Source organism: Homo sapiens, chromosome 11, assembly GCF_000001405.40.
Source record: "Homo sapiens chromosome 11, GRCh38.p14 Primary Assembly".
Lineage (NCBI taxonomy): Eukaryota > Metazoa > Chordata > Mammalia > Primates > Hominidae > Homo > Homo sapiens.
Genome location: NC_000011.10, coordinates 97717639 through 97744423, shown reverse-complemented (window position 1 = coordinate 97744423; position 26785 = coordinate 97717639). Strand labels below are relative to the sequence as shown.

General features: G+C 37.1%; 2 annotated features.

Moving 5' to 3' along the window:
- Nucleotides 292-1491: an enhancer, noted in NCBI's record as "MED14-independent group 3 enhancer chr11:97613933-97615132 (GRCh37/hg19 assembly coordinates)". NCBI's record gives its function as "activates an origin of replication core promoter dependent on BRD2, BRD4, P300/CBP and CDK7 cofactors, and independent of MED14, by STARR-seq in HCT116 cells {active_cell/tissue: HCT116}" and the evidence as "EXISTENCE:reporter gene assay evidence [ECO:0000049][PMID:35650434]".
- Nucleotides 21087-21737: an enhancer, noted in NCBI's record as "OCT4-NANOG hESC enhancer chr11:97593687-97594337 (GRCh37/hg19 assembly coordinates)". NCBI's record gives its function as "activates a minimal SCP1, AML or CMV promoter by ChIP-STARR-seq in naive H9 embryonic stem cells {active_cell/tissue: H9 hESC(naive)}" and the evidence as "EXISTENCE:reporter gene assay evidence [ECO:0000049][PMID:30033119]".

The following is a 26785-nucleotide window of genomic DNA, read 5'->3' as shown; positions in this document are numbered from 1 at the left end:
TCAAATAAAAAATTTGAGTGGCCTAGAGTTCTAGAGTAGCTGGCCCAGTGTAAATTAATTCAAGAAAGTAAAAACATACACATAAGTTTTTAAACATCACAAAATAAAAAAGAAAATGAGAATGAGGTAGCTGGATCTTAGATTGTTCAGTCCACTGATCAGAATATTTTGCACACTATGGGTTAAATAATTAGGGCCTTTATTCTTGTGGTCCTCCTTTTTCCTTCTAAATATCCTTTCCCTATATAGCTTCTTGGTTGCTCAAAGGTTTTTCTTCTAATTCTGTCTTTTCATTTCATATCCTAGCAATACTTTCTCTCCCTTGTCCCCTAGTAATTACCACTTATACAGGCTGCCTCTTGCTAGTACTGGTAGTATGAAGTCTTTAAGTTAGAATGATTAATTATTAAACTTTAACAGTCTATTAAAACTCAAGACCAAAGATGGGCACAGTGGCTCATGCCTGAAGTCCTAGCACTTTGGATGGCCAAGGTGGGTGGATCTCTTGAGCCCAGGAATAGGAGTTCAAGACCAGACTGGCAACACAGCAAAACCCTGTCTCTACCAAAAAAAATTTGCAAAAATTATCACGCCATAGCCTGGGCAACAGAGGAAACTCAAAAAACAAACAAAACAACAACAAAAAAAACCAAGGCTACATTAAAGTAGGTTTTAGAAATGCTTGTTCCCCAGTACCACAAAGAAATAGCACTCAAACATGAATTTAATTCTCCCAGCAAGGCAATCTTTACTTTTTTCAGAAAGGGTGTTCATCGCAGATGGAACAATGGCAAGAGCACATCTTAACAAAGGTAAAGCATACATATTTATCCCTTATGCATTTGGGTCATCCTTACTGATGTGTTGTGCATCCATTGGCTGGAGCCAGACCTCACAGTCTAAACTGATACCGGATTTGCTAACAACCTAAAACTTTCCTAAATAGGTAAGTGCAAGGGAAAACAAAGAAGAAGAGGAAGTTGCTTATGAAAGGTTTAAGGAAGCAAGAACATTTCCAAATAAGGAAGGGGCATAAGGTATGAGCTAAGAGTTGCCTGGGCCTGTCTAGACATGCCTGAGTAAGCCAAAGCAACTAATTGGGCTAAAGTGTAAGAACTAACAGTCGATAGGAGGCTTTAGAGTAAGAAGCTATAATTGCTAGTGTCTATTATTTTTAAACTAAAACAAACTTTGAAGAGGAACTTTTCTATTTTCTACAGTAGGAATTTTCAGAAGGCTAACACTGTTTTATATTAAGAAATAACCTAACTAGGAATGACTTCTAGCTTTTGATGTTACTAGAGCTACCAGAAAAAAGAAAAAAAAAGAAAGGGGGAAAAATAAAGACAGAAAGAAGGAAAAAGAAGCAAGAAAAAACGGGAGAGAGGAAGAAAGAGATAAAGGCAGGCAGGGAGAGAGGAAGGAAGGAAATGAGATATGTGAAACTATTCACTGCAATATTGTTTATAGTATTATACTATTGCAACAGAAATATCCAGAGTACTGGTTGATGATGTCATAGCACATGTAACAAAGTGATACAGAGTTATGAGAAAGGTTTTATTGCCATATTATGATAATAAGTGATCTCCATATATTGTTAAGTTTAAAAAATTGTATTCACAAGAGTTTATGTTACGCTCCCTTATGTCATACAAGGGAGGAAAGAAACGTGTATGCACATATTTAAATTTAAAACTAAAAGATATGTTGGCCGGGTGCGGTGGCTCATGTCTGTAATCCCAGCATTTTGGGAGGCTGAGGTGGGCGATCACTTGAGGTCAGGTGTTTGAGACCAGCCTGGCCAGCGAAACCCCGTCTCTACTAAAAACACAAAAATTACCCAGGCGTGGTGGCAGGTTTCTGTGATCCCAGCTACTCAGGAGGCTGAGAAAGGAGAATCATTTGAACCCAGGAGGCGTAGGTTGCAGTGAGCCGAGATTGCACCACTACACTTTAGTTCAGGCTGGGCAATAGAGTGAGACTCCATCTCCAAAAAAAAAAAAAAATGTTATTCTATCAGTAAAGAGGGATTAGGAAAAAGGACACAAATAAAAAGAATGTGCGTGTGCATATTCACATTATTTCAATTTTCTAATATTGGTATGTCTTTTAAATAGTTAAAAAGCATAAACTTAACTCTAAAGAATGACAAAATTGCCAACTCTAAAGACTAAAAAGTCACAAAATGAGACAAATTTAACTGCATGTCAAGTTAAAGGCATAACCTCACAGATAAAATAATTACTTTAATTTTTTAAAGAATGGTTTTTTTCATTGTGGAAGACAGTGTGGCGATTCCTCAAAGATCTAGAACTAGAAATACCATTTGACCCAGCCATCCCATTACTGGATATATACCCAAAGGATTATAAATCATGCTGCTATAAAGAGACATGCACATGTATGTTTCTTGTGGCACTATTCACAACAGCAAAGACTTGGAACCAACCCAAATGTCCATCAATGATAGACTGGATTAAGAAAATGTGGCACATGTACACCATGGAATACTATGCAGCCATAAAAAAGGATGAGTTCTTGTCCTTTGCAGGGACATGGATGAAGCTGGAAACCGTTATTCTGCGCAAACTATCACAAGGACCGAAAACCAAACACTGCATGTTCTCGCTCATAGGTGGGAATTGAACAATGAGAACACTTGGACACAGGGTGGGGAACATCACATGGGGGCCTGTTATGGGGTGGGGGGGCTGGGGGAGGGATAGCATTAGGAGATATACCTAATGTAAATGATGAGTTAATGGGTGCAGCACACCAACATGGCACAAGTATACATATGTAACAAACCTGCACACTGTGCACATGTACCCTAGAACTTAAAGTATAATAATAATAAAAAAAAGAGGTTGGGTTTTTTTCTTTACATCTCTAGTGTGATAATTTAAGAATAGAAAAAGCTTGCAAATGAATGATAGGCTATGTCTGGTAATTTTACTGTTGAAGAACAATTTGAAAATGTTATAAAATTAGTCTTAACACTGGTATTTTTATTTCATTTCTATTAGAGTGATACTAAAAGAAAATATAAATTATTACGTTGAATATTTTTAGAAATTGATCATTATCTGAGATTGACTTCAGGCATAACTATATGAAGAGTTCTGCCAACCAGCTTCCCACTATAACTGGTAAAATTTACTGAAAAAAAAAAATTCAGTCTCTGCAAATTGTCCCAAGGACAAACAACAAACAGAGAAATATCTATTTTTAAAAATCTATGAAAATTCAGTGAGAAAGGCAAGGGACTGGTATTTGCACTGAGACTACTCTCTCCTAACCCAACTCAAGGAGGTGGAGGTTCTATTCCATATTCCTGCAAGAAAGAATTATCAAAACTGTACCCCCAGCTCCCAGCCAGAAATATCTCTTTCTGAGATAAGCAAGAATTTCGCATTCTTATGATGTACCCAGTGGTCTCTTGCTGAGGCTGTGTGCTTGACAAGCATAATTAAGAGATGAGAGCTTCCTTCTGCCTAATTCCCACTCTTGGAACAGTGGCTCTACCTTGGACATGACCCACTGAGAACACTGGGGGTCTAATAGCCTTTGTCTGGCTCATGAGGTGTCTGTCAGGAATGGCCACAGGGGAGGACCTCAGGCTAATGCACTCCCCCTTCCCCACTAAGGGCTTCGCTCCAGGAGAGGTGGTAGCACTCAACATAAGCTTGCCATTCTTCCCACATCCAGCTCCAGAAATTTTGCCACAGAGAAGAAGCAGGCCATAAAACAGCTCCCAGTCTTTTCCCAATTGAACTGACTCCATTTGCAACAGAGCTTAGAAAAGTTTAAGTCTATGGGTACTAAGTGGAGGTGTGGATCAGTGGAGGTTGTGGCAAAGGACAGTTGGGAGGAAATTTGTGGATGATACAACTTAGACTGTAAGTCAATTAGTTTGCAGGAAATATCTGGGGAATAAGACAACTGGGAAAAAAACTTCCTGGAATCAGAACAAACATTGGACACTGACCCCAGAATCTACCCTGTAATAGGAGACATAATGTGATTGGGTTAATTTCTAGAGGAATTTATGTCCCAGACATTGTTAAAAACAACATAGCAATCTGGTAGTAATTAGTGGAGCTTAACAGCTGGATGTTGTCAGAGAAGGAGTGAAAGAGGGTCCTACTAGTACGAGAGTCGTCCCAGAGTGATCGTGGACATACCTAAAACTGTACCAATCTGTAGATCAACATCAGAGGCTTAACACTGTTGGAGGAGGAGAGATAAACTAAAATAATCTAGCCAGGTATTAAGTGAATGAACAAGAAAATAAAAACAACAATCCCCAGCACTGGGAGACTAAACATAGAGTTGCTGCAATATATTATCTAAATTGGCTGGTTTCCAGTAAAAAAGACTACTAGACTCCAAAAACAAACAAAAAGCAGGAAATCATGACCCATACAATGAAAACAAGAAGTAACAGCAACTGCCTGTAAGAGAGAAACCAGATGTCAGGTTTAACAGAAAAGACTTCAAAGTAGCTATTATGAATATGTTCATGGAATTAAAGAAAACTATAATTAAAATTAGAAGAAAGTGTGATGACAATGTTGTATCAAGTAGAGAATATCAATAAAGAGATAGAAATTGTGTTTTAAAAATTTAAGGCCTAGCACGGTGGCTCATGCCTGCAATCCCAGCACTTGGGGAGGCCGAGGTAGGCGGATCATTTGAGGTCAGGAGTTTGAGACCAGCCTGCTCAACATGGTGAAACCCCATCTCTACTAAAAATACAAACATTAGCCAGGCAGTAGTGACATGTGCCTGTAATCTCAACTACTCTGGAGGCTGAGGCAGGAGAATTGCTTGAACCTGGGAGGTGGAGGTTGTGGTGAGCTGAAATCGTGCCACTGCACTCCAGGCTGGGTGACAGAGTAAGACCCTGTCTCCCCCCAACAAAAAAAAATTAAATAAAAACCATGTAGCTGAATGTAGCTGAAAAGTAAAACAACTAAGAATTCATAAGAGGGACTTGGTAGTAGAATTGATAGAAGAAAAAGAAATTTTTCTTCTGTTGGCAGAAAAAATTACCAACATTGAAGATATTTCAATAGACATTATGCATATTAAAGAAATTAAAAGAATAAAAGAAAATAGACAAAGCCTCAAAGAAATGTGGAACACCATTGAGAGCATCAACACACATGTAATGAGAGTTACCAGGAGAGAAGACAAAGGAGAAGAAAAAATATTCAAACAAATAAGGATGTGGTGGTTCATATCTGTAATCCCAGCACTTTGGGAAGCTGAAGCGGGAAGACTGCTCAAGCACAGGAGTGTGAGAGCAGCCTTGGCAAGTGAGTGAGGCCTCATCTCTACAAAAAATAAGAAATTAGCTGGGCATGGTAGCATGCACCTTTAGTTCCAGCTACTGAGGAGGCTGATGTGGGAGGACTGCTTGAGCCTGGGAAGTCAAGGATGCAGTATGCTGTGAATGTACCACTGCACTCCAGCCTGGGTGAAAGTGAAACACTGTCTCAAAAAAAGGGAGGGCTGAAAAAACTCTTAGTGGAATAAATGCAAAGAGATCTACGAACAGACACATTATAGTAAAAATATTGAAAGTTAACAGCAAAAAAAAAAAAAAAAATCTTGGAAGCAACAAGAGAAAAACAATGAATCACTTACAAGGAAAACCCAATAAGGTTTAAAGCTGAATTCTTGGCAGAAAAAATTTTTTTAAAAAGATGTCAGAAGGTAGTACGATAAAATATTTTAAAAGCTAAGAGAAACAAAAAACAAACAAACATAAAATTCCTGTCAACTAAGACTCCTACATCCAACAAAGCTATCTATGAAAAATGAAGGGGAAATAAAGACTTTTCTAGAAAAATAAACACTAACAGAAATTGTTACTAGCAAATGTGTTATACAATAAATACCAAAAGAATTTCTTCTGAATGCAGGAAAGTGACCTACACAAAGAAACAGAGAGCAGAATTAACATTTGATTCAGCAAACTACTCAGCCATAAAAAGGAACAAAATGATGTCAGTTGTAGCAACCTGGATGGAACTTTTGACAATTATTCTTAGTGAAATAACTCAGGAATGGAAAACAAAACATGGTATGTTCTCACTCGTAAGTGGGAACTAAGCTATGAGGATGCAAAGGCATAAGAATGATACAATGGACTTTGGGGACTTGGGGAAAGTGTGGGAGAGGGTGAGGGATAAAAGACAACACACTGGGTACAGTGTACACTGGGTGATGGGTGCACAGAAATCTCAGAAATCACTACTAAAGAACATATTCATGTTACCAAATGCCACCGGTTCCCCAAAAACCTATTGAAATGGAAAAAAAGCAAAAATAAAGGTAATTATGTAATTATAAAACACACAAAAATACATATTTGTAAGCTTTCTTGGCAAATTGTACGAAGTTTCAAATATGTATAATAAGTAAGTTTTGAAGATTTCATGTACAACATAGTAATGATAGTAATATTATATTGTTTACTTGAAATTTGCTGAGAGTAGGCCTTAACTGTTCTCATTACACACATGAAAAATGGTAACTATATGGTAGCTTAATTGTGATAATAATTTAACAATACATGCACATATCAAAACATCACATTGTACACTTTAAATATACACAATTTTAAAAATATTTTTTTCTTCAACTTTTAAGTTCAGTGGTACATGTGCAGGATGTGTAGGTTTGTTACATAGGTAAACGTGCGCCACAGTGATTTGTTGCATAGATCATCCCATCACCTAGGTATTAAGCTCAACATCCATTAGCTATTTTCCCCGATGCTCTCCTTCCTTTCATACCCCTGACAGGTCCCAGTTTGTGTTGTTCCCCCAATGTTTATGTGTTCTTATCTTTCAGCTCACACTTATAAGGAAGGACTTATGATAATTGGTTTTCTGCTCCTGTGTTAGTTTACTGAGGATAACAGTTTTCAGCTTTATCCATGTCCCTAAAAAGGACATGATCTCATTCTTTTTTACAGCTGCATAGTATTCCATGGTGTTTGTGTACCACATTTTTTAAATCCGGTCTATCATTAATAGGCATTTAGGTTGATTCCATGTCTTTGCTATTATGAATGGTGCTGCCATGAACATATGCGTGCATGTATCTTTATAATAGAATGATTTATATTCCTTTGGGTATATACCCAGCAATGGGATTTCTCAGTCAAATGGTATTTCTGCCTTTAGGTCTTTGAGGAATCACCATGCTGTCTTCCACAATGGTTGAACTAATTTACGCTTGCACCAACAGTATAAAAGCATCTGTTTTTTCTCTGCAGCCTCACCAACATCTGTTGTTTCTTGACTCTTAATAATCACCATTCTGACTGGCATGAGATGGTATCTCATTGTGGTTTTGATTTTCATTTCTCTAATGATCAGTGATGTTGAGCATTTTTTCATGTTTCTTAATTGCATGAATGTCTTATTTTGAGAAGTGTCTGTTCATGTCCTTTGCCCACTTTTTAATGGGGTTGATTTTTCTTGTAAGTTTGTTTAAGTTCCTTGTAGAGCCTGGATATTAGATCTTTGTCAGATGGATAGATTGCAAAATTTTTCTCCCATTCTGTAGGTTATCTGTTCACTCCAATGATAGTTTCTTTTGCTGTGCAGAAGCTCTTTAGTTTAATTAGATCCCACTTGTCAATTTTGGCTTTTGTTGCTATTGCTTTTGGTGTTTTCATTATGAAATTTTTGCCCTTGCCTATGTCCTGAATGGTATTTATAGATTTGAGTTTTACATTTAAATCTTTAATCCATCTTGAGTTAATTTTTGTGTAAGGTGTAAGGTAGGGGTTCAGTTTCAACTTTCTGCATATAGCTAACCAGTTCTCCTGGCACCATTTATTAAATAGAAAGTCCATTTTTCATTGCTTGTTTTTGTGGGGTTTATCAAAGATCGGATGGTTGTAGGTGTGCAATCTTATTTCTGAGTTCTCTCTTCTGTTCCATTTGTCTACGTGTCTGTTTTTGTAGCAGTGTCATGCTAATTCGTTACTGGAGCCTTGTAGTATTATTTGAAGATGGGTAGCATGATGCCTCCAACTTTGTTCTTTTTGCTTAGAACTTTCTTGGCTATATGGGCTCTTTTATGGTTACATATAAATTAGGAAATAGTTTTTTTTTCTAATTCTGTGAAGAATGTCATGGTAGTTTAATGGGAATAGCATTGAGCCTATAAATTACTTTGTGCAGTATGGCCATTTTCACGATATTGATTCTATCCATGAACATGGAATGCTTTTCCATTTGTTTGTGTTCTCTGATTTATTTGAGAAGTGGTTTGTTCTCCTTGAAGAGGCCCTTCACTTCACTTGTTAGCTGTATTCTTAATTCTTAGGTATTTTATTCTTTTTTTTTTCTTTCTTTCTTTTTTTCTTTCTTTTTTTTTTTTTTTTTTTTTGAGAGAGAGAGTTTATTCTTGTTGCCCAGGCTGGAGTGCAGTGGCTCAATCTCAGCTCACTGCAACCTCTGCCTCCTGGGTTCAAATGATTCTCCTGCCTCAGCCTCCCAAGCAGCTGGGATTACAGTCATGCACCAGCAAGCTGGCTAATTTTGTATTTTTAGTAGAGATGGGGAGACGGGGTTTCGCCATGTTGATTAGGCTGGTCTCAAACTCCTGACCTCAGGTGATCTGCCCACCTTGGCCTCCCAAAGTGCTGGGATTACAGGCATGAGCCACCATGCCAGGCTGGTATTTTATTGTCTTTGTAGCAATTGTGAATTGGAGTTCATTCATTATTTGGCTTTGTGCTTGCCTATTTTTGGTGTGTAGGAATGCTAGCATTATTTGAACATTGATTTTGTCTACTGAGACTTTGCTGTATTTGTTTCTCAGTTTAAGAAGCTTTTGGGCTGAGACAATGGGGTTTTCTAGATATGAGAACATGTCATCTGCAAACAAAGACAATTTGACTTTTTATCTTCCTATTCAGATACAGTTTGTTTCTTTCTCTTGCTTGATTGCCCTGGACAGAACTTCCAATACTACATTAAATAGGAGTGGTGAGAGAGGGCATCCTTGTCTTGTCCTGGTTTTCAAGGGGAGTGCTTCCAGCTTTTGTCCAATTAGTATGATATATGCTGTGGGTTTGTCATATGTGGCTCCTATTATTTTGTGGTATGTTCCTCAATACCTAGTTTATTAAGAGTTTTTAACATGAAGGGATGTTGAATTTTATTGAAGGACTTTTCTGCATCTATTGAGATAATCATGTGGTTTATGGTTTATGTCTTTATTTCTGTTTATGCGGTGAATCACAGTTATTGATTTGTGTATGTTGAACCAACCTTGCATCCCAGGGATGAAGCCAAATTCACTGTGGTGGATAAGCATTTTGATGTGCTGCTGGATTCAGTTTGCCAGTATTTTATTGAGGATTTTTGCATCAATGTTCATCAGAGATACTGGTCTGAAGTTTTCTTATTTTTTGTTGTGTCTCTGCCAGGTTTTGGCATTAAGGTGATGCTGACCTCATAAGATGTGTTAGAGAGGAGTCCCTTCTTTTCAATTTTTTTGAATAATTTCAGTAGAAATGGTAGGAGGTCTTCTTTGTGCCTCTGGTAGAATTCAGCTGTGAGTCTCTCTGGTTCTGGGCTTTTATTGTTTGGTAGGCTATTTATTACTTCCTCAATTTCAGAACTTGTCATTGGTTTATTCAGGGATTCAGTTTTTTCCTGATTCCATCTTGGGAGGGTGTATGTGTCAAGGAATTTATTCATTTCTTCTAGACTTTCTAGTTTATGTGCATAGAGGTATTTGTTGGGTTCTCTGATGGTTGTTTTTTATTTCTGTGGGGTCAGTGATGATATCCCCCTTATCATTTCTGATTGTGTTTATTTGATTCTTCTCTCTTTTCTTATTTGTTTAGTTGATGGCCTATCTATTTTATTACTTTTTTCAAAAAAAAAATCATTTTCTGGATTTGTTGATTTTTTTGTAGGGTTGTTTATGTCTCTGTCTCTTTCAGTTCAGCTCTGATCGTGGTTATTTCTTATCTTCTGCTAGCTTTGGGGTTTGTTTGTTTTTGGTTCTCTAGTTCTTTCAGTTGTGATGTTAGGCTGTTAACTTGAGATCTTTCTAGTTTTTGGCTGTGGGCATTTAGTGCTATAAATTTCCTCCTAACACTGCTTTAGCTGTGTCCCAGAGATTCTGGTATGTTGTCTCTTTTATTCTCTTTAGTTTCTGCCATAATTTCATTATTTACCCAAGTCATTCAAGAGCAGGTTGTTCAATTTCCATGTAGTTATGCATTTTCAAGTGAATTTCTTAATCTTGAGTTCTAATTTTATTGTGCTGTGGTCTGATAGACTGTTATGATTTCAGTTCTTTTGCATTTGCTGAGGGGTGTTTTACTTCCCATTATGTGATCAATTTTAGAGTAACTGATGTGGGGTGATGAGAAAAATGTATATTCTGTTTTTAGGGGGTACACAGTTCTGTAGATCAGGGCTGCTTGATCCAGAGCTGAGCTCAGGTCCTGAATATCTTTATTAATTTTTTGTCTCCATGATCTGTCTAATATTGTCAGTGGGGTATAAAACCCTCCCACTATTATTGTGTGGGAGTGTAAGTCTCTTTGTAGGTCTCTAAGAACTTGCTTTATGAATTTGAGTGTTCCTATATTGGGTGCGTATATATTTAGGATATTTAGCTCCTCTTGTTGAATTGAACCCTTTACCATTATGTAATAGCCTTCTTTGTCTTTTTTTATCTTTGTTGGTTTATAGTCTGTTTTGCCAGAAACTAGGATTGCAATCCCTGCTTTTTTCTGCTTTTCATTTGCTTGGTTAATTTACTTACATCTCTTTATTTTGAGTCCATGAATGTCCTTTCATGTGAGTTGGGTCTGTTGAGGACAGCATACTGATGGGTCTTGGCTGTTTATCCAGCTTGCTATTCTGCTACTTTTAATTTGGGCATGTAGCCCAATTTACGTTTAAGGTTAGTATTCTTATGTGTGAATTTGATCCTATCATTATGATGCTAACTGGTTATTTTGCAGACTTGTTTAAATGGTTGTTTCATAGTGTCACTGGTCTGTGTACTTCAGTGTGTTTTTGTAGTGGCTGGTAATGGCTTTTCCTTTCCATATTTAGTGATTTCTTCAGGAGCTCTTGCAAGGCAATACTAGACAAATTCCCTTAGCATTTGCTTATCTGAAAAGGATCTTATTTCTCCTTTGTTTATGAAGCTTTGTTTGGTTGAATATGAAAATCTGGTTTGGAAATTCTTTTCTTCAAGAATGTTGAATATTAGCTCCCAACTTTTTCTGGTTTGTAGGGTTTCCTCTGAGAGTTCCACTGTTAGTCTGATGGACTTCCCTTTATAAGTGACCTGGCCTTTCTCTCTGGCTGCCCTTACCACTTTTCCTTTCATTTTGACCTTGGAGAATCTAATTATATGTCTGGGGGTTGATCTTCTCATGGAGTAACTTACTGGAGTTCTCTGCATTTCCTGAATTTTAATTTTGGCCAGTCTTGCTAGGTTAGGGTAGTTCTCCTGGATGATATTCTGCAGTGTGTTTTCCAACTTGGTTTTATTCTCCCCATCCCTTTCAGATACCCCAGTCAGTCATAGGTTCAGTTTTTCTACATAATCCCACATTTCTCAGAGGTTTTGTTCGTTCCTTTTTCTCTAATCTTGTCTGCCTGTCTTATTTCAGAAAAACAGTCTTCATGATCTGACACTCTTTTCTCCTCCTGGTCTATCTTGCTATTGATACTTGTGATTGTATTGTAATGTTCTTATGTTGTGTTTTTCAATGCCATCAGGTTGGTTATGTTCCTCTCTAAACTGACTATTCTGGTTACAAGCTCCTCTATTGTTTTATCATGATTCATGTAACCCAATTCTATGCATTGGGTTACAACATGCTCCTTTAGTTCAGTTAATTATTACCCACCTTTTGAAGCCAGTTTCTGTCAGTTCAGCTATCTAAGCCTCAGCCTAGCTCTGTGCCCTTGCTGGAGAGATGTTGTGGAGGAGAAGAGGCACTCTGGCTTTTTGAGTTTTCAGCATTTTTGCTTTGATCCTTTCTCATCTTTATGGGCTTATCTACCTCAATCTTTGAGGTTACTGACCTTTGAATGCGGTTTTTGTGAGGTCTTTTTTGTTAATGTTATTGCTCTTGTTGCTTTCTGTTCATCTGTTTTTCTCTGAACAGTCTGGCCACTCTTCCTTAGGGCTGCTACAGTTGGCTGGGGATCCACTCCAGATCCTGGTTGCCTCAGTTTTTCCCATACCTGGAGGTAAAGGCTACAAAACAGCAAAGATGGCAGCCTGCTCCTTTCTCTGGAAGTTCCATCCCAGGGGGGTACTACCCTGTTGCTGGCCCACCCCAAACCCTCTGAAAACTCCTGTAGGGAGGTTTCACCCAGTCAGAAGGAATGGGATCAGGGACTCATTTAAAGAAGCTGTCTGGCTGCATTTTGTTAGTGCAGATGTGCTGAATTAGGGGTGACCCTTCCTTATCCGGACTGCCTGGACTCTCCAGAGCCAGAAGGCTGGAATGGCTGAGGTGACTAAACCACAGAAGAAAAAAAATAATTAAAATAAAAGTGTTGATTGACTATAAATAAAAACTTTGTTTTGACCTTGAACAATAGTTATCATTTCCTTTAGTGCATAATTGATAGTACATATGCACAAGATTTTTCAAGAATTTGCAAATGATATAACAGTAAATGCAATTCTACTATTGAACTATCTAAGGATAGGCCAAGGTAGTGCTGCAACATTTGACAGTTACATCATTTCACTAAATGACAGTTTTTAACTTGACAGCATATGTTTAATATAGTGAAAAAATGAGGGTAAAGACAGAGGATACACTTAAAACATTTTTTTTCTTACTAGGAGTAAATCATCCCCTCCCGTTTTATCAGCTTTCTATGTTCTTTCAAAAATGTGTTGCTTTCCAGGACTAATTAATGAACCACTTAACCAGGGTCCAGATTACAATGTTCTTTCCCAAACTACTTGAATTCTTTTTACATTCAACTAGAAATGCTATCACAAGTGCCTTCAGGTGAATGGCTGGGATCTGGTAAAGCTTGGCTCAAAGTGTATTATACCATACTGCATTTTGTTACTGTAATCAGTATTAATACGCTCTCAGTATTCTTTATTTTTTAAGCATTTAATTTTGAAAGAAAATGTGTTAATGAAGTATTTTATATATTAAACACACAACCTGAAATATATAGCAGACGAATTTTGGTGATCACACCCACTTAACTAATACCCTGTTTTTTAAAAAAGAGATATATATATATTTGTGTGTGTGTGTGTATGTGTGTGTGTGTGTATATATATATATATATATTTATATATATATATATTTATATATATATATTTATTTATATATATATATATATATTTATATATATATTTAGCCAAGACCCTAAACGTCCCTTCTCATGTTCCATCTCAGAAGCTACCTTCTCAAAAGTAAAAAACATACTGATTTCTTTAATGAGAAATTCATTTGTTTCTTTTCAAATATTATATTAAGTGAATCACGTAGAATAGTCATTGCTAAATAAGATATGTTCCCTATCCTAGTACTTACATCAACCAACACACTTCGTTGTTTTCCTCAAATGTTCTTGTGTCAGAAATAACTAGCTGACTATCAAATATTTGTGATTACCTTTCGTATTGTAGAGTTATTGCTCAGAAGCAGCTAGAGTCTAGCTAAAGATTATATTATCCAATTCCCTTGTAGGGCCCTACAAGTCTTCACAAATATTATGTGAACAAAAGTGCTCTATATTACTTTTTGGCTTATGTAATTAAAACAAAGTTTAACCTTTTCCGCACTATTTTCTCTCATCCTCCAACTGGATACTATCACCTTAGGCAACTATGAGGACCATCAGTTGGTGCAACCAACAGGTGAAAGCAGAATGGATAATATCTGAATCACCTCTTAGAAAGGAGCTTTTAATTGATACAGAACACCTTTTCAACTTTCACAGTGCAAATAATAAATATATGTTTTAACAATTTTGTATTTTTGGTATCGTTTGATACAGCAATGAGTGTTAACTAATACATGTCTTTTCCTCTGATCCGTAAGCATTTTTTCACTACCCTTTTAGCAAAAACAAAAGGCCCCTTGCACATTAGAAAATGCAAATGGATGTGAGGAAGCTATGAAGTGACGTTATTCAAAACCTGTTATTAGAAGTATCATAAGGTCTGCTTTTACTGATCAAACATATTAACATAGAAAGGCTTAGCAGTTAGTTTCCCAAGGCCATTTGGCTCTTAAAGTGGAAAGTAAGGATTCTCCCAAATCAAATGCACGTGCTCTTTACCACCACAGGGTAATGCCTGATTTATCCCATTGTTTTGCAAACCCTGGGGGAAAACCCTCTTCATAAAGAGAGGCATAGAGCCATAGAAAACATTGTATTAATTTAAATTCAGCAGCTTAGATTACAGCATTTTATTTCACTTTTAATTTAACCACAGCCATAAAAGGTCTGGGTAATCTTTATCAGCATTCTGTGCTTCCAGAACATAGCTTTGTTTTGTCATTTGAGAGATGTTTTGGGGAATGGGTAACCACGTGTAATACATTTCAAATCATTATAATTGTTCTTCAATTTGGCAGTGCAGGATATGAGAAATCGCAGATATCTTGCTATGTCTTGCTGACTGGAAAACTTTGTGTAACACTCATATCTAGGATGAAGAAATGCATTGCAATACTCTGAGAAACAAAGTATTATGGATTATCTAGAGTTAGATTTCCATGGTTCATATTCAGAAAGCAAAGGAAGAAAAAATGAGCTGTGATAGGAGAGGGATAAGATGGGCTATAATATGTCTGCCAAATAGTGTTAGTCAGGTCCTTGACATTTCAAAGGCAATTACAAAGCTAGAAGTGCAACTAAAAGTACACTGTTATGAATATACGTAGACTGGTTAATTAATAACAAAACAATTTTATTTTTACCCAGAGCTGACCAACTTTTATCCCTCTTCCACAGTAATATAGGAGGAATGGGCAAAAATAAGGCAGCTACTGTTTTATGCAAAAAAAGTTCATATAAATGATTACTGTATTTTTAAAAATAGTTACAAAGAGAAATGCACAGGTTGTGATGAGATTCAGGACCATTTTGCACTCTTAACCCATAATTGCACAGCATTTGAATTTATCTCATGCTTTTTAACTTGCTACATTAATAATAATGCTGTTTATCACTTAATAATAACATTTAAATACTGTTTGAAATTGACAAAAAACTAGTGGCACATTATTTAAAAATATTTTATTGCGAAAAATGTTAAACGTTGACAAAAGTAGAGAGATATACTAAACTTGTATTCATGGCCCAGCTTCAAATATTAGTATTAATCCTTGTAAATTAGGCTTCATTTTTCTCTCTCCAAATTTGTATGTGAGTGTGCACATACACAATTGCATATATATATATATATATATATATACCCACACATAGTATGTATATGTTAATGTGTTTGTGAATATGTATGTATATGAAAATATGTGTGTGCTTTTAATAAACTAAGATGTCTCCATAACACCTGAAAATAATAACTATTTCCAATATCACTTAATTCAAATCCAAATTTCTCTGCCTTGAAACTTTTTACTGTTATTTTACTATTGTTTGCATCAGGATGCAAAGCATTCTCACAGGTTATATTCACTGTTAATGTCTCTTTCATGCTCCAACACTGCCACTTGATTATTTCATTCCAAGCCTTTTCAATGGCAGAGCTAGAAAACACATAGTATATTTTTATTTTATTATATTTTAATAATTTTGGGGGAACAAGTGGTTTTTGGTTACATGGATAAGTTCTTTAGTGGTGATTTCTGAGATTTTGGAGCACCTGTCAACTGAGTAGTGTACACTATACCTAATGTGTAGTATTTATCCCTCACCCCTCTCCCACCCTTCCTCCCAAGTCCCCAAAGTCCATTATATCATTCTTAGGCATTTGCATCCCCATAGCTTAGCTGCCACTTATAAGTGAGAACATATGATATTTGGTTTTCTATTCCTTCATTACTTCAGTTAGAATAATCTTCTCCAGCCCCATCCAGGTTGCTGCAAAGGCCATTCTTTCATTCCTTTTAAGGGCTGAGTGTGGTGTGTATATCCCATGGTGTATATATACTACATTTTTTTAATCCACTCATTGGTTAATGGGCATTTAGGCTGGTTCCATATTTTTGCAATAGTGAATTGTGCTGCTATAGACATGCATGTGCAAATGTCTTTTTTATACAATGACTTCTTTTCCTTTGGGTAGATACCTAGTAGTGGGATTGCTGGATTGAATGGTAGTTCAACTTTTAATTCCTTATCGAATCTCCATACTGTTTTCCCTAGTGGTTGTACTAGTTTACATTCCCAACAAACATTCAGGTAAATTTTATCTTCTAGAATTTTTATGGCTTCAGTGTAAAAGTGTTCTCTTTTCACCAAATCCATGCAAATATCTATTTTTTTTAATTTTTTAATTATGGCCATTTTTGCAGAAGTAAGGGGGTATTTCATTGTGGTTTTGATTTGCATTTCCCTGATAATTAGTAATATTGAGCATTTTTTCATATTTTTTTGGCCATCTGTATATTTTCTTTTGAGAATTGTCTATTTATGTCCTTAGCTCACTTTTTGATGGGATTTTTTTTCTTGTGATTTGTTTGAGTTCCTTGAAGATTCTGGATATTAGTCCTTTGTTAGATACATAGTTTGTGAATATTTTCTCCCACTCTGTGGGTTGTCTATTTACTCTGCTGATCATTTCTTTTGCTGTGCAGAAGCTTTTTAGTTTAATTAGGTCCCATCTATTTATTTTTGTTTTTGTTGCGATTTGCTTTTGGGCTCTTCATCACGAACTCTTTGCCTAAGCCAATGTCTAGATGAATTTATCCAATGTTATCTTCTAGAATTTTTATGGTTTCAGGTCTTAGATTTAAGCCTTTGATCCATTTTGAGTTGATTTTTGTATAAGGTAAGAGATGAGGATCCAGTTTCATTCTTTTACAGGTGGTTTGCCAATTATCCCAGCACCATTTATTGAACCTGGTGTCCTTTCCCCACTCTATGTTTTTGTTTGCTTTATGAAAGATCAGTTGGCTGTAAGTATTCGGCTTTATTTCTGAGTTCTCTATTCTGTTCCATTGGTCTATGTGCCTCTTTTGATACCACTACCATGTTGTTATTGTGACTATGGCCTTATAGTATAGTTTGAAATTAGGTAGTGTAATGCCTCCAGATTTGTTCTTTTTGATTAGTCTTGCTTTGTGTATACAGGCTTTCTTTTGGTTCTGTATGAATTTTTGGATTTATTTTTCTAGTTCTGTGAAGAATGATGGTGCTATTTTGATGGGAATTGCATTGAATCTGAAGATTGCTTTTGGCAGTATGGTTATTTTCACAATATTGATTCTACCCATCCATGAGCATGGGGTGTGTTTCCATTTGTTTGTCTCATCCATGATTTCTTTCAGCAGCATTTCATAGTTTTCCCTGTAGAGGTATTTTACCTCCTTGGTTAAGTATATTCCTAAGTATTTTATGTCATCTTATTTGCAGCTGTTGTAAAAAGTATTGAGTTCTTGATTTTTTTCTCAGATTGGTCATTGTTGGTGTATAGCAGTGCTACTGATTTGTGTACATTAATTTTGTAAACTGAGACTTTATTGAATTCATTTATCAGATCTAGGAGCTTTTTGGATGATTCTTCAGGGTTTTCTAGGTATATGATCAGCAAACAGCAACGGTTTGACTTCATCTTTACTAATTTGGATGCCTTTTATTTTTTTTCTGTTGTCTGATTGCTCTAGCTAGGAATTCCAGGACTATGTTGAATAGAAGTAGTGAAAGTAGGAATTCTTTTTCCAGTTCTCAGGGAGAATGATTTCAACTTTTCCCCATTTAGTATAATGTTAGCTGCGGGTTTGTCATAGATGGCTTTTATTACCTTGAAGTATGTCCCTTCTATGTCAATTTTGCTGAGGACTTGTTTTTTTTGTTTGTTTGTTTGAGACAGAGTCTCACTCTGTCACCCAGGCTGGAGTGCAGTGGTGCAATCTCAGCTCACCGGAGCCTCCACTTCCTGGGTTCAAGCGATTCTCCTGCTTCAACCTCCCAAGTAGCTGGGACTACAGGCGCATGCTACCATGCCTGGCTAATTTTTTGGATTTTCATTAGAGACAAGGTTTCACCGTGTTAGCCAGGGTGGTCTCCATCTGACCTCATAATCCACCTGCCTCGGCCTCCCAAAGTGCTTGGATTATAGGCGTGAGCCACCATGCCCAGCCTGCTGAGGGTTTTAATCATAAAGCAATGCTAGATTTTGTAAGATAACTTTTTCTGTGTCTATTGAGATGATCATATGATTTTTGTTTTTAATTCTGTTTATGTGATGTGTCATGTTTATTTACTTGCATGTCTTAAATAATCCATGCATCCATGGCATAAAACCGACTTGATCATGATGTATTATCTTTTTAATATGCTGTTGGACTCAGTTAGCTAATATTTTGTTGAGAATTTCTGAATCTATATTCAATAGGGATATTGGTCTGGAGTTCTCTTTTTGTTATGTCCTTTCTTGGTTGAGGTATTAGGGTGATACTGGCATCATAGAATGCTTTAGGGAGGATTCCCTCTTCATCTATCCTTTGGAATAGTTTCAGCAGTATTGGTACCAATTATTTGAATGCCACACAGAATTCACTTGTGAATCTATCAGGTCCTGCACTTTTTTTGCTGGCAATTTTGTTATTACTGTTTTAATTTCACTACTTATTATTGGTTAGTTCAGAGTATCTGTTTCTTCCTGATTTAATCCAGAAGGGGTGTATATTACCAGAAATTTATCTACCTTCTCTAGAGTTTCTAGTTTGTATGTATGAAGGTGTTCATTGTAGCCTTGTACGATCTTTTGCATTTCTATAGTATCGGTTGTAATGTCTCCTGTTTCATTTCTAATTGAGCGTATTAGGTTCGTCTCTCTTCTTATTTTATTAATCTCACTAATAGTCTATCAGTTTTATTTTTTGAAGAACCAGCTTTTTGTTTATCTTTTGTATTGTTTTGTTGTTTCAGTTTCATTTAGTTCTGCTCTGATCATTGTTATTTCTCTTCTTCTGCTGGGTTTGGGTTTGGTTTGTTCTTGTTCCTCTAGTTCCTTGAGGTGTGACCTTGAATTGCCTATTTGTGCTCTTTCAGACTTTTTCATGTAGGCATGTAATGCTATGAACTCTCCTCTTAGCACTGTTTTTGCTGTGTCCCAGTGGTTTTGATAAGTTGTGTCACTGTTGTTCAGTTCAAAGAATTTCTAAATTTCCATCTTGATTTCATTGTTAACCCAAAGATCATTCAAGAGCAGATTATTTAATTTTCATATATTTTAATAATTTTGAGGGTTCCTTTTGAAATTCATTTCCAGTTTTATTCCACTCTGGATTGAGAGGATACTTGATGTGATTTCCACTTTCTTAAATTTGTTGAGACATGTTGGTGGCCAACATGATCTAGCTTCTAGAATGTTCCATGTGCAGATAAAAAGTGTGCATATTCTGCAGTTGTTGGGTAGAATGTTCTGTAAATATCTTTTAAGTCTATTTGTTCTGGGGTGTAGTTTAAGTTCATTGTTTCTTTGTTGACTTTCTGTCTTGATGACCAGTCTAGTGCTGTCAGTAGACTACTGAATTCTTCCCCTCTTTTTGTGTTGCTGTCCATCTAATTTCTAAGGTCTGGTAGTAATTGTTTTGTAAATGTGGGAGCTCCAGTGTTAGGTGCATATACTTAGGTTGGTGCAAAAGTAATTGCAGTTTCTGTCATTAAAAGTCATGGCAAAAATTGCAATTGTTTTTGTACCAACCTAATATATTTAGGATTGTGATATTTTTCTGTAGGACTAATCTTTTTATTTTATTTTATTTTTTTCTGATTTTGCTTTAAGTCTGTTTTGTCTGATATAAGAATAGGCACTCCTGCTCACTTTTGGTTTCTGTTTGCATGGGATATTGTTTTCCACCTTTTTACTTTAAGTTTATGTGAGTCCTTATGTGTTAGGTGAGTTTCTTGGAGATAGCAGTTACTTAGTTGGTGGATTTTTATCCATTCTGTCATTCTGCATCTTTTAAGTGGAGAATTTAGGCCACTTGCATTCAACGTTAATATTGAGATGTGAGGTACTTTTCTATTCACCATGGTAGTTGCCTTCTAAATACCTTGTTTTTCCCATTGGATTATTGTTTTATAGGCCTTGTGACATTTACACTTTAAAGAGGTTCTATTTTGGTGTATTTTGAGGTTTTGTTTCAAGATGTAGAACTCTTTTTAGCATTACTTGTACTCCTGGCTTGGTAATGGCACATTCTCTTAGCATTTATTTGTCTGAAAAAGACTGCTTTTCCTTCCTTTATGAAGCTTAGTTTCATTAGATACAAAATTCTTGGCTGCCAAATATCTTGTTTAAAGAGGCTAAAGATTGGACCTCAATCCTTCTGGCTTATAACGTTTCTGCTGAGAAAACTGCTGTTAATGTGATAGGTTTTCTTTATTGTTTGCCTGATGCTTTTGTCTCACAGCTCTTAAGATTCTTTCCTTCACCTTGACTTTAGACTGATGACTGCGTGCTTAGGTGATGATCTTCTTGTGATGAATTTCCCAGAAATTTTTTGAGCTTTTTGTATTTGAATGTCTAGATCTATAACAAGGCCAGGGAAGTTTAGCATAATTATTTCCTCAAATAATTTTTCCAAACTTTTAGATTTCTCTTCTTCCTCAGGAATACCAATTATTCTTAGATTTGACTGCTTTACGTAATCCCAAATTAGTTGCAGGCTTTGTTATTAAAAAAAAAAGTTTATTTGTCTTGGTCTGATTGGGTTAATCTGAAAGCCTTGTCTTCAAGCTCTGATTTCTCTTTTCTACTTGTTCTAGTCTATTGTTGAAACTTTCCTGTGCATTTTGTATTTCTCTAATTGTGTCTGTTATTTCCAGAAGTTGTGACTGTTTTTCCTTCATGATATCTATTTCTCTGGAAAATTTTGCATCCATACCCTGTATATATTTTTTTTAATTTTTAGAAGTTGGTTTCACCTTCCTCTGGTATCTCTTTGAGTAGCTTAATAACAAACCTTATAAATTCTTTAGCTGGCTCAGTTGTGGCTAAGGGAGGTGGGTAGATGTAATACCGAATGGTGGGCCAACGTCCCGGCCTTGATGATGGTAGCTGGGGGAGCTCTCAAGTAGCTGTGCTAAGGTTTTATCAGGGTGAAGAGTGGGAGCTACCTCAGCTCCCTTGCCAGGTCAGCAGGAAAGCTATTCACCTCCCAGCCTCATTCCTGTCCTACTGTTTCAGCTATTCAGATCAGACAGGCACCTCTTTTCATCTATAGGAATGTTGATGTTCCAAGTAGGAGGGAATTGTGTCTCTGCCTCTCATGCAGGCCTGAATCTGGAGTGTGCTCCTCCTGTGGGGCTGCACTCACCCTGAATTGTTCCAGAAAGTCTGACTATAGGTGCCTCCAGGCTGCATTCCTGTGGGGGAAGCCCCAGCTGTATCTGCGGTGGAGTGTCAGAGGGGAACAAGGATCCCTTCTCCAAGGCCCTTCATGATCAGAGAAGCTGCCTGCTGTTGGGGTATAGATGCAGACTTTCTCTACTGTGCCCAGCCCTGTAATTGTGTCTCTGCTGTGAAGAACTACCCACCAGTGCAAAGATCTGTAACTCAAGGCCTGGTGTTCAGATTCTTTTATCCCACAGGGTGATCTTTTGATGTGGTGCTCTCCTGCTTCCTCTAGGAATGGGGCTTTCTGAGAGCCAGACTGCAGTGATCTTTATTGCTGTTCTGGGTCTAGCCACCCAGCAGGGCTACCAGGCTCCAAGCTGGTGCTGGGGAATATCTGCAAAGAGTCATGTGATGTGACCTGTCTTCAGGTTTTCCAGCCATAGATACCAGCACTGGCTCTGGTGGAGGTGGCAGAGGAATGAAGTAGACTCATTCAGAGTCCTTGGTAGTAGATTGTTTAGTGTGCTGGCTTTATCAAATGCTGGCTATGCTAGCAGTGAAGTTGTTACATGGACAGACTCAGGACCTTTGGTTAGCCAGGATGTTGCAGCTGGTGGTATTAGTCATTGTTTTCTTTTTCCTGGGAGCAGGATTATTCTGTCTTGAGTTGCTATAATGGCCTGAGATGATTGGCCTCCAGCCAGGAGGTGGTACTTTCAAGAGAACACCAGGTCTGGTATTAGCAATGTAATATAAACTTGCCCTAAGTTGGCCAGAGTAGGTATTCTGGTTTCTCAGGCAATGTGCGGGGCCACAAAACTCCCAAGAGTATATGTATTTTGTGTTTGGCTACCAGGGTGGGTAGAAAAAAACCATCAGGTAGGGGCAGGGTTAGGCAGGTCTGAACTCTCCTTGGGCAGGGCTTGCTATGACCATTGTGGGGGATGGTGTTGTGATTCTCGGGTCAATGGGATTAGGTTCCAGAGAAGATTATATAGTTAATAATAATCTGCTGTGCTGTATAGTTCTCCAGGGAAGTGGGGGATAGCCAGTAGCAAAAGGTCTCACCCAGTTCCCATGCAGTTGGTGAGGCTGTTCTGGCTCCCACAGTGCCCCGCTAACAGCATCAAGTTTAGATGCAGGCAGCCTGCATGAGGAACTCAGACCTTGTCCCAGACTATAAGCTTCCCCACTGAACAAGCAAGCTAGGTTTTCAGCCTTGCCCCTCCCTGTCTGTCCACAATGTTCGCGGTGGCTCCTGCACTCATATCTGCAGGACTTCTCCTTTGCCCCCAGATTCTGCTCACAAAAAGTTTGTGCACATTCAAAATTATTACAAAATTCAGTTGGAAGCTTTTTTCACCCTGTTAACACTCCCTAATCCCATTGTTTGCCTTCCCTGAGGGCCCCTGTGAGATATAGTCAGGAATGGCTTCCCTGGGCTTAAGCTGGAAAATGGAAGTGCCTCTGAGGCTCTTCCTGCTGATGCTTCTACTTGTATATTTCAGACAACTCCTTAAATCCATTTCAGCTCTAGATAAGGTTAAATTCTTCTGTGGTCTAAATTTTCCAATTCCCCAGCGGGAATGTGCATTCAGAAGCAGGTTTTCCCCCACTCACACTTTGGGAACACACAGTTTTTCACCTGCTTCATGGAATTTGAAGCGGTGTGCTGCTTTTTTCAAAGGATCTGTAAATTCTTACAGTTTTCCTGGTACATTCCTGCAATAGCTCTTGGAGCAAAAGTTCATAGTGTGAGTTGCCACACACTATTCTGTCCATCCAAGTGGGAGATGCATGTTAGCCCTGTTTCCTATCTGCCATTTTCCAAAGGTCTCCTCAAAATACATAATATTTAGAGAAAACCCAATAACATCATATTGTTAATCCTAATTCAAATATAAGACTGAAAATTATAGGTTCTTTCTTAACATCTTCCATCTCTTTTATTTCATAATGAAAATTTTGCTTTCTAACTATATACATGTTGGGTGAAGATACTTTCATTTATTATTAATAAGCTACATTATACCCAAGGGACTCCCTTTCTTCACCTGTCTTACACATATTTATGTCAAGTGTGAAGTTTCTCATTGTAAGTGGAGTAATTAGCTTTTGTGGGAAACTCTGGATTCAGAACAGCAAAACATATATGTTAGTAATAGTCATTATTTTTTTTCAGTTTTTTAAGATATAATTGACATATCGTATATCTCACATATTTAAATTATACAATTCAATTGTTTTTAGTGTGTTTAGAGATATGTGCAATGGTTACCATAGGCAATTTTACAACACTGTCATCATTTCAAAAACTAACGTCATACCCACTAGCTCTCCCCAACACTCCTTCACAGTTCTAAGCACCCACTAGTATGTTTTCTGTCTATATAATATCGTTTCCTATTTTTGCCTTTCAAATGAGTGAAATAATATAATGTAAAGTGTTTTGTGTCTGGTTACTTTCAGTTAGCATAATGTTTCAAGATTTATTCATGCTCTAGCAATATCAGTACTTTTATATTTTATGGCTGAATAATATTTCATCTATAGACATACTACATTTTGTCTATCCTTTTATCTATTGATGGACATTTGCATTGCTTCTACTTTTTGGCTATTATTAATTGTGTTGTTAAAATATTAATGTACAAGCTTTTGTCTAGATATATGTTTTCATTTCTCTTGTGTGTTTACCTGGGAGTGGAATTACTGAATCACATAGTAACTCTATGTTTAATCACTTGAGAAACTGCCAAACTGTGTTCCAAAATGGCTGTACCATTTTAAATTTATACTAGGAGTGATGGATATTTCAATTTCTCTATATCCTTTTTAATACTTGTTAATTGATGTTTTTATTTTTCAAATCCTCATGTGTGTAAAGTGTTACAATATTGTGGTTTTCATTTACATTTGCCTGGTGATTATGTTGCACATCTTTTTTGTATGTGTATATTGGCCATTTTTATGTCATCCTTGCTAAATGCCTAGTCAGATTCTTTGTTCATTATTTAATGGGATTATTTTTGTCTTTTATTATTGAGTTGTAAGAGGTATTCATATATTCTAGATACAAGTACCTTTTTATAAGTATGATTTGCAAGTAGTTTTTTCCATTCCATGGATTGTCTTCTCACTTTCTTGATAGAGTATCTTATTCAATTCCCACATATTTGTTAATTTTCCAATTCCCTCTTATTATTGATGTATAATTATTTTATTATGATCAAAGGACATATTCTGTATTTTTTCATCCGTTTTAAATTTAGTGAGGCTTGTGTTTTGGTCTGGTATATGGCTCATCTTTAAGAAGGTTTTCTGTACACTTGAAAAAAATGTATATTCTGCTTTTAGTGGTGGAGTTTTCTATAGATTAGATCTAGTTAATTTACAGTATTGTACAAGTCTTATATTTCCTTTTTAATATACTGCCTAGTTTTTCTATCTAGCATTGACAGTGGGGTACTGAAATTTCTAACTATTAATAGAGAAACACCTAATTTTCCCTTTAATTCTGTCACTTTTATTTCAAATATTTTGAGGCTCTGCTGTTGGGTGCATATTATGTTTATAATTGCTATATCTGCATCTTTGGCAGTCCCTTTTATCAATATAAAATTTTGCTTTATTTTTTCAACATTTATTCACTTTCAAGTCTATTTGTGTGGCTATTTTCAGCTGTGAACTATTGCAGGTCATTTATGGTTATTGTTTGTATGATACCTCTTTTCCCATCTTTTATCCCTTATTACATTTTAATAATATCATATTTTAAAGGTATATATTAATATCATTAATCTTACATCATAGTCTTACTCTTTAATTTATCATATGTTTAATTCTAAGAAAAATTTTTCTCTGTTGTTTTGGTTTTCCTTTAATTTTTTAAAATGTACATGGCATTTATATTTTACTAAGACTTATGTATTTACTTACACAGTGCTAGGATTCACTCAGTGCTAAGATTTATCATCGACGTCGTTGGTAGCTTTATTTCATTTCTTTTGTGGAATATTCTAATGTGTGACTATGCCACTATCTATCCGTTATACTTTCAGTGTATATGATTTGTTTTCAAGTTTTTGCTAGTTCAAACAGTGATGTTGTGAGTATCAGCTGTCTATAGGCAAGAGATTTGTTGAGTATATACATACTAAGAATGGGGTGTCTGTGAAAGTATATATTGTCAATATCAATATGATGCCAATTTTTTATCAAAGCAATTGTACCAATGTATACTCCCATGAGTGCCTGTTAATTCACCCTGTTGTATTGTTAAAGTTATCACCTTTTACCACTAGAGGCACAAAAAGTCATATTTCATTTTGGGCCTTTACATGACTCAATTGTCCTAATATAGAAAATTATCTTACTTATTTCCTTCTGCATCACTATTCTGCACATTCATTGGTGACTAACTGGTTTTGCCAGATAAAATATTTCTGGAGACTTGTTGCAGAACAATATAAATATACTTAACACTCCTGAGCTGTACCGTTAAAATAGTTCATTATATGTTATATGTATTTTACTACATTTTTGTTTTTTTGAGATGGAGTCTCACTCTGTCACCTAGGCTGGAGTGCAGTGGTGTTGAGAGGTGACAACGTGCCGGCAGCCCTCGCTCACTGTCAGGGCCTCCTCGGCCTCGGCGTCTGCTCTGGCCATGCTCGAGGAGCCCTTCAGCCCGCTGCTGAACTGTGGGAACCCCTCTCTGGGGCTGGCCAAGGCCGGAGCCGGCTCCCTCTGCTCGCAGGGAGGTGTGGAGGGAGAGGTGTGGGCGGGAGCCCAGGCTGAGTGCCGCGATGGTGGGCCGGCGCGGGTTCCGGTGGGGGCGGGCTCCTTGGTGCGGCAGGCCGGAGCCTGCTGGGCTTGATTACAGGCTGGGTCCCGCGCATGGACCACCGTTCCCTCTTCATGGGGTCGTTGGCCATGATGGCAGGTCTCCGTGTCTTTCTCCCTTCCCCTCTTTTCCTCTTGGTTGTCTGGGACGAGATCCCTCTGGGCTGCCAGAGTGCCCAGGCTAGGTGCCACAAAGTCCTGGGGCGAGTGTCAGTGGGAGGTGAAGCCGGCTGGGCTTCTGGGATGGGTGGGGACTTGGAGAACTTTTCTGTCTAGGTAAAGCATTGTAAATGCACCAATCAGCACTCTGTGTCTAGCTAAAGGTTTGTAAACCCACCAATCAGCACTTTCAAAATGGACTAATCAGCTCTCCATAATATGGACCAATCAGCTCTCTGTAAAATGG